Source organism: Homo sapiens, chromosome 9, assembly GCF_000001405.40.
Source record: "Homo sapiens chromosome 9, GRCh38.p14 Primary Assembly".
NCBI lineage: Eukaryota > Metazoa > Chordata > Mammalia > Primates > Hominidae > Homo > Homo sapiens.
The window spans coordinates 133,488,957-133,502,189 of record NC_000009.12 but is presented as its reverse complement, the minus strand read 5'-3'; the positions used below and the strand labels follow the sequence as shown (position 1 = coordinate 133,502,189).

The window sequence follows — 13,233 nt, the reverse complement described above, 5'->3', positions numbered from 1 at the left end:
CTTGTATATTTAGTGATTTTTTTTTTACTCTGAACTGCTCATTTGCTGTGGAACTTTATGGAAATTTTCTGAGGCCTGAGGTAAAGGCAGAGTCCTTTAGAAAGTAATTGTATTTACTTCTGTCAAACAATTGAGGCACTTCCAATCTGACACTCCTTTAAACTAAAATCCCTTGTTTTGGATAGTTGAGGAAATGTGGATTCAGGCTACATACACACACACGTAGTTCAGGTTATAGTTATTAATTCTTAGAGAATGCTTTTCCTGCTCCACTTGGCACCAAAGTTTGCTACAGGCAGTGCCGATGTAGTATCCAAAGGGGAAATAGATTTTCTAGTTTCCCATGACAGTGAGGTGTAGCCCATGGAGTCCCACATTGAAGGAATGGTCTTCCACTAGACTCTCCTGCATGGCCAGGCTCTGTGCTTTGTCTTCTGACCTCTAGCCACAAAAGTAGTCAAAAAATGATGCTCAGGTTTGCCTATGAGAATAAAAAATTTCAATTCTCCAACTTCAAAATGAAAAGATAGGCTGTTGTCTGGCCACAGCAACAAGCAAACACCAGCATTAAGTCCGTCTCAATCTAGTAGTGACCACTTTCTTTGGTCAACCAACCAGCAGTAGCCCCTCTCCAATAACTAGTCTCCCTCAGTTAGAGATCAATCATTCCCCAAGCTCTCCCACTTCTGAAAGCCTCCTATGCCTGAACTCCACTCTTCCTGAAACACTATGAAGGCCAGCAGTTTGCTTTGTTCGGGCAGTCTGAGCCTTACAATTATAGCTCTCCCATGCTGAACAAGCAATAAGTTCAGCTTTTTGTTTCAGAGATGGAGCAGTGGCCACATCTTTCCATACCTCCCAGGAAAGCCAGATTCAGTGTCCACCTTCCTCTCTGGGTCCCATCTTTTCTCTATCCTGGCCTGAGTACTCCACACTTCCTAGTCAGCTCAAGACAATAATCAACAAGACAGGCATTTTTCATTCTACCCAGAATTTCTAGCTGCTGTTAGTGGGAGGGTTTGTGCAGGTTCTTAACTGGCCATATTGAAAAAGAACAGAAATCTTTGGACTTTATTTTACAGATGAGGAAACTGAGGCATGGGAACATTACATAAATCACTTAATATTATGGAGTCAGTATATCACAGATTCAAACCTTGGAAGCCAGGCTCTAAGGTCTGTGATCTGATGCTCTACCACACCCAACAAGTGAGTCAGTAATTAGTGAATCCATCCATCCATCCATCCATCCATCCATCCATCCACCATTTATTGAGCTGCTTCTACCAGTCAGCCACAGCTTAAGGCCCTGCACATTGTATTAACCCATTCTCACACTGCTATAAAGATACTACCTGAGGCCGGGTACAGTGGCTCACACCTGTAATCCCAGCACTTTGGGAGGCCAAAGCGGGCGGATCACGAGGTCAAGAGATTGAGACCATCCTGGCCAACATGGTGAAACCCCGTCTCTACTAAAAACACAAAAATTTGCCAGGCATGGTGGCGCATGCCTGTAATCTCAGCTACTTGGGAGGCTGAGGCAGGAGAATCGCTTGAATCCGGGAGGTGGAGGTTGCAGTGAGCCGCAGAATGAGACTCCATCTAAAAAAAAAAAAAAAAAAAAAAAAAAAAATACTAACTGAGACTGGGTAATTTATAAACAAAGAAAGTTTCATTGACTCACAGTTCCACAGGGCTGGGAAGTCCTCAAGAAACTTACAATCATGGTGCAAGGTAAAACAGACACCTTCTTCACAAGGCAGCAGGAGAAAGAGTGAGCATGAGCAAAGGAAACACTGCCACTTTTAAAACCATCAGATCTCATGAGACTCACCCACTATCAGGAGAACAGTGTGGGGGAAATCACCCCCACAATCCAATCTTTTCCCTCCCTGGACACACAGGGATTACAATTCAAGATGAGATTTGGCTGGGGACACAGATCGAAACCATATCACACAGACAGCACCAAATGAGATGGGCTGCATTCCTGCCTTCATACTGCGTACATTTCAGGGAGAGGCGGCACAGGAGTGCATGGAGGATGCCTCGGAGCCCCTCGGAGTGTGCAGAGGCACCAGGAAGAACCCGCAGTCAGCGCCGGCAGCAGCAGCCAAGGGGACACACACCCACCATTTAGGCTGGGTCTCCAGGTCACGACCACTCCACTAAGTCCCCAAGACAGATCCCATGCCCCTGGGACACAGCCACAGGAATGAGCTCATGGAACCCACGGGAACCCGGAGGCACAAAGAAGGTTTGCAACTTTCCCAAAGTCTGTGGCCTGGCCGACATTTGAACACAAACTCACTGGTTCTCCTCCTCCGTTTGAAGACAAATGCTCCAGCAAGGACTCAGGGAGGAGCTTCTGGGCCAAATACCTCTGGATTTAGGGAGGGCAAAGGTCGCAGTGGCTTCTCTCTGCCGGTAACCCTGGAAGCGATCATGAGGAAGTCACAATGTTTCATTGGAAGCCAGGCCCTTCCCTAACTTCACGAGCCTGAACGTAGGGCATCTCGTGGAGCTGGGCTGTAGACAAACCTTCTTAGCTCCTGATGTCCCCCGAGGCCTTTAAGAAGTCAACACATTTCCCCAGACTCTGCAAGCCAAGCAGGTCTTGGCCTCTGTCCTGTTACCCTAAGGGTCATGGGTCCCCAAAAAGGCCCCCACACGGTGACGGATGGTCGGCAGAGCTGCAGAGGAGGGGGCGGGTTTTCTGCACTGTGTCATTTGGGGAACAGCTGGGCACAGCTGTGTCCTGAAGACACTGCCCCAGCCCCGCTGGGAACACAGGGTCAGACACCATTCCCAGCATGGGCCCCACACCAGAGGCCAGACCAGGGGACAGCGTGTCCTGGGGCTCGGTCGGCCCCGTCCCAGCCTGACAAAGCAGCCTCCCCCGACTCCAGCCCAAGCCAGAGGAATATGTAAGCTTTTTCTCTTAGGTCTTCCCAAGCTGGGTGCTATCTGTCCAGCAGGGGCAGGGTGCTGGTGTTCTCCCAGAGTGGCAGGGGTCCAGCTGGATAGAGCTTTGAAGCTTCTGGAACCTGCGCTGTGGCTCTCACCAACCTGCTTCGGAGCCACTTTGGGGAATCTGGGGACCCAATGAGGGCTGTCCCGGGACCCACACGTGCCACCATGAGCTGAGGCTCCCCTCTGGTTAAGGAGAGCTATTCAGGGAGGCTGCTCTCCTGCCCCACACACAGCAGGACCCCATTCGCCTCAACCTGCAGCCCCAGCTCCAGAACCTCTTGCAGCACCAGGCATCCCCTCCTGCCACCACTGTGCCGAGCCTGGGCACCTCCCAGCAGGCTGGCCTCCCTGCCCTCCCACCTTGTCTTTCATCAGGTCTCAACTCCAGCCCCAGCATGCACATCTTCCTTCTGTGTGCGCACACACACACAAAAACACACACGTATGCATGCACACACATGAATCCACTCACATACTTGTATGCAAGCACAGACATGAATCCACACACACAAATGCGAGCACACACATGTATGCAAGCACACACGAATGCAAGCACACACATGAATGCACACACATGCGAATGCAAGCACACATATGAATGCAAACACACAAATGCATGCATGTACACACACAAATGCCCACACATGCAAGGATGCATGCACACGCGTATGTATGCACACACACACACGAATGCACTCACATATGTATGCAAGCACACACAAATACACACACATGTATGCAAGCACACACATGAATGCACATGCATATTCAAAGGCATGCACACCCATATGCACTGCACACATGAATGCACGCACATACATGAATGCATGCACACACACACACACACACACACACGCACTGTTCCCTGCACCTGGACACCTTTGTGTGAGCCTCTGCTCCCTGCCCGCCAAAATCTTACCCGTCCTCCAAGACCTGTCTCAAAGTCCACCTCCTCCACAGCCCCTCACTAGCCCCTCCAAGCTGCCCTCTTCTGAGCCGTCCCTCTACTCAGCCCTCACCTTGGGGAGCGTCCCACCTCCACAGGTGTGTCTCTCTCACCTGACAGAGCCCCAGGAAGCCAGGACCAGCCCCACTGACTCGGTCTCCCCTCTAGCACCTCAGCACTGCAATCAGCTGCTACCCCACCAGTGTGTGGTGGGTTGAGAGCTTTCAGATGTTTCTTATTAATTTTTATTTTTACTTTTTTTTTTACCCCACAAGCAACGCGTGGGTCAATGATGATTCTAAGTTTGTTCAAAGCAACCATCTACCTTTTTCAAATTACTCCAGTCATTCGTGTGTGTTGTAGAAAAATTCAAACATGTAGATAAACAAAATGAAGACCATTAAAATCATCGGAAACTGTAGACGTTTGTCTCTGTGGTCACTTACGTAGGGCTGCTGTTCTAAGTCTGCTCCACGTATTGACTCATTTAACCTGCGCAATACCCCTGAGTGACAGGTGTGGGCATCACCCCATTTTGCAGCTGAAGGCACTGAAGTGCAGGGCCGTTTGGCAGCATGTCCAAGGTCAAGGTCATCTGGAAAGCGACAGGGCTGGACTTGAGCTCTGACAGCAGGCTCCAATGCCCATGGTCTTGACCGCTGTGCCCTGTCCTGTGCATAATTAGGATCATACAACACTGTCTTCTGTAACCCGCCCCCCAGCGCCATCTTAGCATGCAGTCTGTCGTGAACACCCTCCAGGCAGGATCACCGCATCATTTTCCAAGCCTGTCACATCCCAGACCTCCAGGTCAGTCCACACTGAGACAGGGTGGACAGGAACTCCTGGGAGGGCCGTACCCTCAGTCCATCAGTCAGACCCCTAGAGTCCTTCCCGGATGCCTGGACGCCGCTCCACCCCCAGCCCCCAGCCGGCTGGTGAGAGTCGTGGATTTCAGCCTCCGATGGAGGAAAGGCCAAGTCAGCCGCAGCTCAGCTTCTCAGAGGCCAGGGGCCGGCTCCAGGTCATCGACTCTGCATTTCAGGCCAACCGGCTTCAGGGGCAGGGTCGGGGGGCCCTGAACAGTGACAGCGCCACCCTCAACTTATGCAGACGCTGTGGCAATGTCTAATCCCACGAAGCCTCCTCCTGCCTCACCCTAAGGGCCATCGTAAGTGCATGGACATGTGCATGGACACGGGACAGACGGGAGAAAGCATGGCTTGAACAGCAGACCGGGCTCTCAGCCTCAGACACCAGAGAGCCTCCCGAGCTCAGGCAAGGCTGCCAAGGGAGGGTGCGCACCCCCGCCACGGAGAGGCTCCCCGGCCACTGTCTGGAGAGCTACAAGTTTTGAAATATCAGCCACCCAGAGAGAGGTGTGGGGCTGACTCCACCCCGATCTGGGGGGTCTTCCCATGGAGTCCCTTGTTCCAAGTGCATCTGGGGGAGATTTCAAAGCCAGAGTGTCACTGACCCAAAGACCACCCACCTGGCCATTTCGGGGCCAGACCCCCAGGCGTGTCATGCCTGACCGAGACACATTGTGTCTGGACTTTCAAAAAGAAGGAGGGAGGCAGTCTGGGGACGAGTTCCATTTCTCAGGAAGAGCAGAAGGGCCCAACGGGCACTCGCCTTCTGTTCTGATAGGAAAGAGTCTTGCAGAAACGGAAGAGGAAACAGGAGAGTTGAGCTCTGGGGGCTTCAAAGCTCAGCTCAGTGGTGGAGGCGACAGCATCCCTGATGGGCCACGTGAGACACAAGCATCCATGGCTCTATCCTCACCCACAGACGGAACATGGAACCCGGCTCGCTGGGGTACTCGCTGGGAACGGTGCCCTGCAGTGGGGCTCTGGGGTTGTGCATATGCACACATGCGTGTATGCACACACACACACACAAGCTCATGCACACACACACGAGCTCACACACACACACAAAGCTCACACACACAAGCTCACGCACACACATGTATGCACACACACAAGCGCACACACACACGAGCTCACGCACACACACATGAGCTCACACACACACAAAGCTCACACACACAAGCTCTCACACACAAGCTCACACACAAGCTCTCACACACACAAAGCTCACACACACACAAAGCTCATGCACACACAGCTCATGCACACACAAGCTCATGCGCACACACACACAAGCTCATGCACACACACACACAAATCTCACGCACACCCACACATAAGCTCACGCACACACCCCGACACACAACACATAAGCACATACACGACACATAAGCTCACACACACAAGCACACACACACAAGCTCACGCACACACACAACACATGACACATAAGCACACACATGACCCATAAGCTCATGCACACACACACATAAGCTCACGCACACACATGACACAAGCACACACACACAAACTCATGTGCACACACACGACACAACACAAGCTCACACACATAAACACACACACACAAAGCTCATGCACACACACACAAGCACACACACATAAGCACATGCACACACACATACAAGCTCACGCACACACCCACAACACACAACACATAAGCACACACATGACACATAAGCTCATGCACACACACAAGCACGCACACACACACATAAGCTCACGCACACACACGGCACATAAGCTAACGTGCACACACATATAAGTTGATGCACACACATAAGCTCACACACAAGCTCACGCACACACACACATAAGCTCACGCACACACAAATGACACAGAAGCTCATGCACACACACACAGAGCTCACATGAGCACACATGACACATAAGCTCACATACACACACACATAAGCGCACACACACAACACATAAGCTCATGCACACACACACGCGCACACACACGAGCTCACACGAGCACACACACACGTGTACACACAGACTCACCAGCCCTGGGGGCCCCTGGGGCTTCTTGCTAGGTGAGGCCCATTCCACAGACAGAACGAGACAGCCTTGATTGTTGTCCCAACAGAATCCAGATGAAGAAAACGCAGAAAGAGAGCCAGACAGTGTCTGCACGCTGAGGCGCCTGCTCTGGCCCTGAAGGGCGTCCACCCGCAGGCGTTGATGGGCCACAGGCAACAGCCAAGAAGTTGGCCCGACTCACCCCATCACCGCGGCTCCTGGGGCTCCCACCAGGGTCCACAGGAGCACGCTGAGGCCGTGTTCTGCCTGGGCCAGGGCTGTCAGACCTCCATGGAAGGGTCCTGGGGAGACACAGCTGGAGGTGTCTGGAAGCTGCGTTCATGTGGTGAGCCCATCTTTTCTACTTGGATGGTACATTCATAAGGCCCCCGCCCATACAAGACCCAGGAAAACAGGGCCAGGAGCTGGAAGGGAAAAGGCCCCACAGCCACAGAGTGAGGCCGCCAGCCTGGGGGACGCAGGGGAGGCCGGGGCTGGGTGGGTTCAAGGCCAGTTCGTGTCCCAGCCATGGGGGCGGGACACCCGGGCAAGCTTTCCAGCCCCCTCTCTATCAACTGAGCTGGCAGGCCTGTCCGTTTCAGGACAGCAGAGCCCTGTACCCATCCTCCATGCGCAAGAAGCAAACCCCACTCCTTATCTGCAGGAGGAGGCGGGCTTCTCTGTCGATATGGGCAAGCCCCTCAGGCAGACATTCCCATTCTTCCAATATAAGGCCTTCAAACATTTTAGGAGGCATGCAGGCACCCCATCTCCTCCTCCCCCTGAAATCCCAGATGTAATTACAATACGTGTGGCATCCCAGGGCGACAGGACCAGCTGGAAGCCGGACCCTAGCCATGTGAACACAGGTACACGAGACTCACAATGGGCACTCACACGCAGACACCCACACGGCCCCTGCAAGCGTCGCCCACACCCAGGCCAGCGCTGAGCCGTCCAGTCTGGGCTCTGCCTTGGCAGACACCAGGGCAGATGCACCTGCCGCCAACGGCCCCAACACCCACCCAGGGCCACCTCCCTCCCAAGTACCTGGGGCAGCCTCGCCCTGCATAACCCGATCCCCTGGCTGGCCCCACACATGTGTTTTTTCACTGAGCTCAGGCATCACCTCCTCCAGGAAGCAGCCTGTCCCCGCTCTCCCATGTCCCGGGTCCTGTGCCCCTCTGACCTGCCCCGGCTCTCCTGTGTCTGGGGGCCTGTGCCCCTCTGCCCTGCCCCGGCTCTCCTATGTCCCGAGTCCTGTGCCCCTCTGCCCTGCCCCGGCTCTCCTGTGTCCGGGGACCTGTGCCCCTCTGCCCTGACCTGGCTCTCCTGTGTCTTGGTGCCTGTGCCCCTCTGCCCTGCCCCAGCCTGCCGAGGGTGTGATGGTTTTCAGTGTGTCTCCCCTCTGGAACTGGTCAGCCCTCAAGGCAGGGCTGACCCCCATCCCAGTGCCTGGTATGAAGCTGGGCCTGAGCTTCCTCAAAAAGCGTCTGATGCACAAGCGAATGTGGTGACAATACCCACGAAGGGCCACCCTGAGCCTGTCAGATAGGAGGCGGCATTGCTTTGCTGAAGCGTGGGAATGCACGCAGGAGTGTGAGCACAGGCCCTGGCCCTGGACCGCCCCGTTCACCCAGGGCCCTGCTGGTCCTTCAGGCTCGAGAACACGATGTCCACAGGCTCCCAGGAACTGCAAGTGAGCAGAGTGGCCGAGAGCCGTGACCCCAGGACAGCAGCTGAGCAACAAGGGGGCCCCCAGCAGGCCAGGCAACCCAGGGCCCCAAGTGACATGTCCCCTCGCCCCAGGCACCCTTCACCCCAGCCATGGCCTGCATAGCAAGCCACTGCCATGCAGCCTGGGGAGCTCCAGGCTTAAGGTCCTGGCAGTGACTCTGGAATGGAAGTGCCAGGGCACAAACTCCAGGACCACCCCTTACCATGACCTGCAGGGCCGTGGGCAGGCAGGAAGCCCCCTCATGGCCAGGTTTCTTGAGGGCACCGTGGTTTCATGGCAGCATCTGCCTCCCAGGGCTGCTGCGGAGGGGAGAGGAAGGGACACAGAGTTCTGGAGAGGTGCTGCTTGCCAGTGGGGCCCCTGCAGATGGACAGAAGCCTGAGGGCGGCCCCCTCTGATTTCCAGCCTTCCCTCCAACCTTCTCCTGCATCCACCTGGCTGCCATTTGGGCAATTCCCAGGAGGATGAACAGAGTAGCCGAAGCCCGCAACACAGACATTTAACTTAGGAAAGATCTGATTGGTTCGGACACCCCTCGCCCCGGGCAGTGAGAAGAGGGCCTGGGCAGACCCTGCCTTGTTCCCCGTGGCCTCCCCAGCCCCCAGTCCCTGCCACCCCTGAGCCAGGGAAATCCTTCTGCGCTGGAAGTGCGGCAGCCCACAGAACAGAGTGCAGCCTGGGCATGCCCTCGGCCCTTTCCCTGAACCTGTTTCTTCTTCTGTAAAGTGGGAGAGAAGGACACGCACAGCTGGCAGAGGGCGCAGGGAGCATGACCACCAGCCGAGCACGCTGTGCGTGTGGGAAGCACCCAGTGGCAGCTACAAACAAACAGGCCCCGGCTCCCCTGTCCTCCTTCTTCTCGCCAGCAACCCCAGAGATCTATTCCGGGGACCCGGCCACAGCTGGGCTCCCGAGCCCCACATCCCCCAGCCCGAGGTGCCCTCAGGCCTTCCAGTGGAACATTTTTGACATAGTCTAAACCATCAGCAAAACAAGATGAAAATTCAGTAATTGCTTTTGGCAGGGAGTCCATGGGCCAGCACAGAGGCCAAAAATAACCCCGGGGAAGTTTCCTGGGCCACCTGCAGCCCTGGGGGCCCGTACTAGGCTCTGTCTGAACACAGGCCAGGACGGGTCTCGGCCTGGCCCTGCAAGCCAGCCTGGACAAAGCAGGGAGGCGGGCAGGGACTCGGGGGGCAGCGGGACAGAGTGAGGCTGTCACTTAGCACACTTCAGGCCAGGAAGTGCCCGGCCATCCGGAAAAATGTAATGTCATACTTTAGCAAGAAAAGCAGCTGTCATGCTACTTAGCAGCCCACAAATAGTTGGCTGAGTCCTAGAGCGGGTGTTGGCTGAGCCTGGGAGAGCAGAGATGCCAGGCTGGCAGGGCGGTGTGGGCCTCGTCCGGCCAGGTGGTATTCCCTCCCAGCCCCTCGCTCCCCCAGTCTCCCCCAGGCCTGGTCAGTCCCCAGCAGGCTGTGGGGGGCGCGAACCCCCTGAGGTTACAGCCCAAGGTCGCTGCACATCTGGCCACGGTAGGGGGACCTCGTCTGACCCCTCCCTTAATGCCTGCTGGGGAACCCCAGAGGGGACAGGAGCTCACTTCACCGGGTCAGAATCAGACCTCTCACCCACATCCCAGGCAGCCTAATCCTTTCCTCCAGGCCTCAGGGCCTCATCTGTAAACTGAGGCTGTCAAAGATGGTGGTCAAGGTACCAGAAGCCCATTAAGTAGCCAACCAGCCAGGCTCAGGGCTGACCCCCGCGCTCTCCTCTCCCCCATTTTACCGATGAGGAAATGAAGGCTCACGGAGGGAAGACCACACAGCGAGGATTGAAGCTTGGGTGGGACCCCAGGAGCAGAGCGGGCAAGGACGGCGGCTTCCCAAGGAGGGCTGATTGGCCTGCAGAGGGGTCAAGGACAGTGGTGTCCCTAGGAGGGGCTGATGCACCAGCAGAGGAGACGGGCCAGCCCCACCCTTGCCTTATCCAATTCCTTCTTCATCCCCCTAAATGGGATGCCCAGAATGCATGTGGGTTGCCTGAAGCCCCTTGAAAGCCCCCGGAGTGTCAGATGGGGGGTGTCCAGCCAGGTCTTTGGTTGAAGGAAAAGAGAGAGAACCCACCAGAGCCCAGTCCCGGGCGGGCTTCGCCTGCAGGAGGAGCCCCACCCCATGCCGTCCCGGTGAGGAAGTCAGGCGACACCTCTGTGCACCTGGCCATCTGCTGTCTGCGTACCTGCTCCTGTCCAGTCTGAGTGTCATTGGGTGTTTTTCATTCTCACCTTCCAGAGGATACCGAGGCTGGAAGAGGCACAGTGACCGGCACAGGGCCCCAGGGTCCTAGGTTGTACTAGGTCTCAGATGAACGCATGACCTAAAGCCACCCACCTCTCTGGGAGCTGGGCCAAGTGCAACTTCCCACCCAGGCTGTCCTCCTCCCTCCCTCCTCCTCCAAGTCCTCCTCCAGTTCCTCCTCCCCTCCTCCTCCCCCTCCTCTCCCTCTAGCTCCTCCTTCCCCCTCCTCCTCCAACTCCTCCTCCCCCTCATCCTCCAGCTTTTCCTCCTCCCCCTCCAGCTTCTCCTTCTCACTGTCCTCCTCCCTTTCCTCCTCCCCCAACTCCTCCTCCTCCCTCCTCCACCTTTTGCTCCTCCCTCTCCTACTTTCCATCCTCCTCCCCCAACTCCTCCTCCTCCCTCCTCCACCTTTTCCTCCTCCCTCTCCTCCTTTCCATCCTCCTCCAACTCCTCCTTCTCCCCCTCCCCTCCTCCTCCAGCACCTCCTTCCCCTCTTCCTCCTCCAGCTCCTCTTCCTCACCTTCCCCCCCTCCTCCCTCTCCTCCTCCTCCTTCTTCTCCCTGCTTCTCCTTCTCCAGCTCCTCCTCCCCCTCCAGATCCTCCCCATCCTCCTCCTGCAGCCTTGAAGCAGTAGGGCCCGACTGTCCCGACAGCACCCCTGCACGCCTCTGAGGACGATTCCCCAGTGCCCCTCAGGGTGTGGCAGTGAGGAGGGTGCCTAGATCCAGAGCACACCCATGAGCCAGCCCCTTCCAGCCTCCAGGTCCCTCAATCCCCAGATGAAGAGAGAGTGACACCGGGTGTCCAGCAGGAGTGCATGAGGCTGCAGCAAACAGAAGCCAACCCCATCACTCCACATGGACATCCAGCCTCCAGACACTGCCTGAGAGCCCCTGCCTGCTTCCTTCCCCAGCAGCGTAGCGTGGGTCCCACCCTCCTGCCTCGGTCTCAGCCTCAAGACTGGGTCTCACCCTCATGGTTGCCAGTGAGCAGCTGCCTCCCCCGGCCACGCGACGGGATTCCAGGCAGGAAAAAGAGGGCAGGACCCAAAACGTTTTCCAGTGAGACTTTACCTCTCTAATCAGGAAGAGCTGCCCCAGACCCTCCTGTCTAGCCCTCGTGGCCTCTGCACCGACACGTGGCCACCTGGCCGCAGGGAAGGCTCATTGCCATCCCCAAGCAAAATTAGGGTCCTTTCAGAAGGAAGCAGAAAGGAATGGAGGTGGCAGTATAGCCCCACAGCCCCCGGTGACTGACCTGGAGGAAGAGTGACTTTCCCAAAGCCACTCAACTAGGGAGTGCTGGAAATACAGGCTGGATTGGAGTCCATCTGTCCCCATGCCCGCTCTCTCAACAATGGCACAGAGCAGCCTCTTCCCCGAGGGGGGAGCTTGCCTTGCCCCTCTATGGGCCACTTTAACCTGGCCTTGCAGACACCCACCAGCCCACATCCAGGCTGGTAGAAAGGATGCCAGTGTCACTCCATACCCAGCTTCCTGGTTAAAGACACACATCCAAACACACAGAACCCATGTACACATAAACACACATATATACACATGCACACACACGGGCACACACACAGGCAAACACACATAGGCACATCCCTACACAGAGACACACACACACGCACACACGCTCTGGCGGGCTGCCTGCTCTCACACCTCTTTGCAAACCAGCTTGAGCTGCAGTCCTGCCAACCCCACCCCAGAACTCTCTCTGGCTGGCTGAGCCCCGTCCCCAGGCCCACCCTGTCACCCTTTGCACTGTCTAGCCCGGCAAAAGCACATACTTTCCTAACCTCAGGCATCTGGCTGCCCAGCAGCCCCTGGAAGGTGGGGAGGGGAGGTAGGAGACAAGGCGGGAAAAACCCCAAGGTAGAACCACAATGTTTATAAAACGGGCCACTGAATTATACAGAACAATATTTTCCTTGCGGATGCGATTCCTTCCTGGCCAAGCTGCACGGAGATGCCTGCTCTCACCCCAGGCCCTCTCTGCGAGGGCTTGGCCTGCAGGAGCCACCAGAGCTAGGCGGGTGGAATGAGTTGGCCCCTGGAAATGCATTGGAAACCACACAGCCTTCTCATGGGCGCTGGTCAGAAATACAAACGCACAGAGCAGGCATACACTGCCCTGGTCGGCCTGCGTTTCTCGTTAGCACTGGGCCTGCAGGCAGGGCTGAGGCCCAGGGTGGCAAGGGCCAGAGGCCATCCTCCTGCTGCCCTGCTCTGGGGCAGACATGGGCTCCTCGGCCTGCGTACCTGGGCTTCCCTGCAGCCCTCGTCCCTGGTCCTGATGGCTCCTGGGCCAAGGCTGGAAGCCACTTCTAGGAGTGCGAATGACTGGAACTTTCGGACC

At 56.2% G+C, this 13,233-nt stretch overlaps 1 long non-coding RNA gene across 2 annotated transcripts; it reads right to left on the bottom strand.

Moving 5' to 3' along the window:
• Nucleotides 1-1,044: 1,044 nt before the first annotated feature.
• LOC102723855 (uncharacterized) lies at nt 1,045-10,479 on the bottom strand. 2 transcript variants are annotated; one of them, XR_007061832.1, is made up of 4 exons: nt 10,364-10,479; nt 6,820-8,874; nt 2,315-2,436; nt 1,045-1,605 (listed from the first exon to the last, which is right to left on the bottom strand). It is a non-coding gene; the product is annotated as an uncharacterized LOC102723855 (long non-coding RNA). The 2 variants fall into 2 exon arrangements; XR_428608.4 differs by having other exon boundaries at nt 6,820-10,479.
• Nucleotides 10,480-13,233: the final 2,754 nt, after the last annotated feature.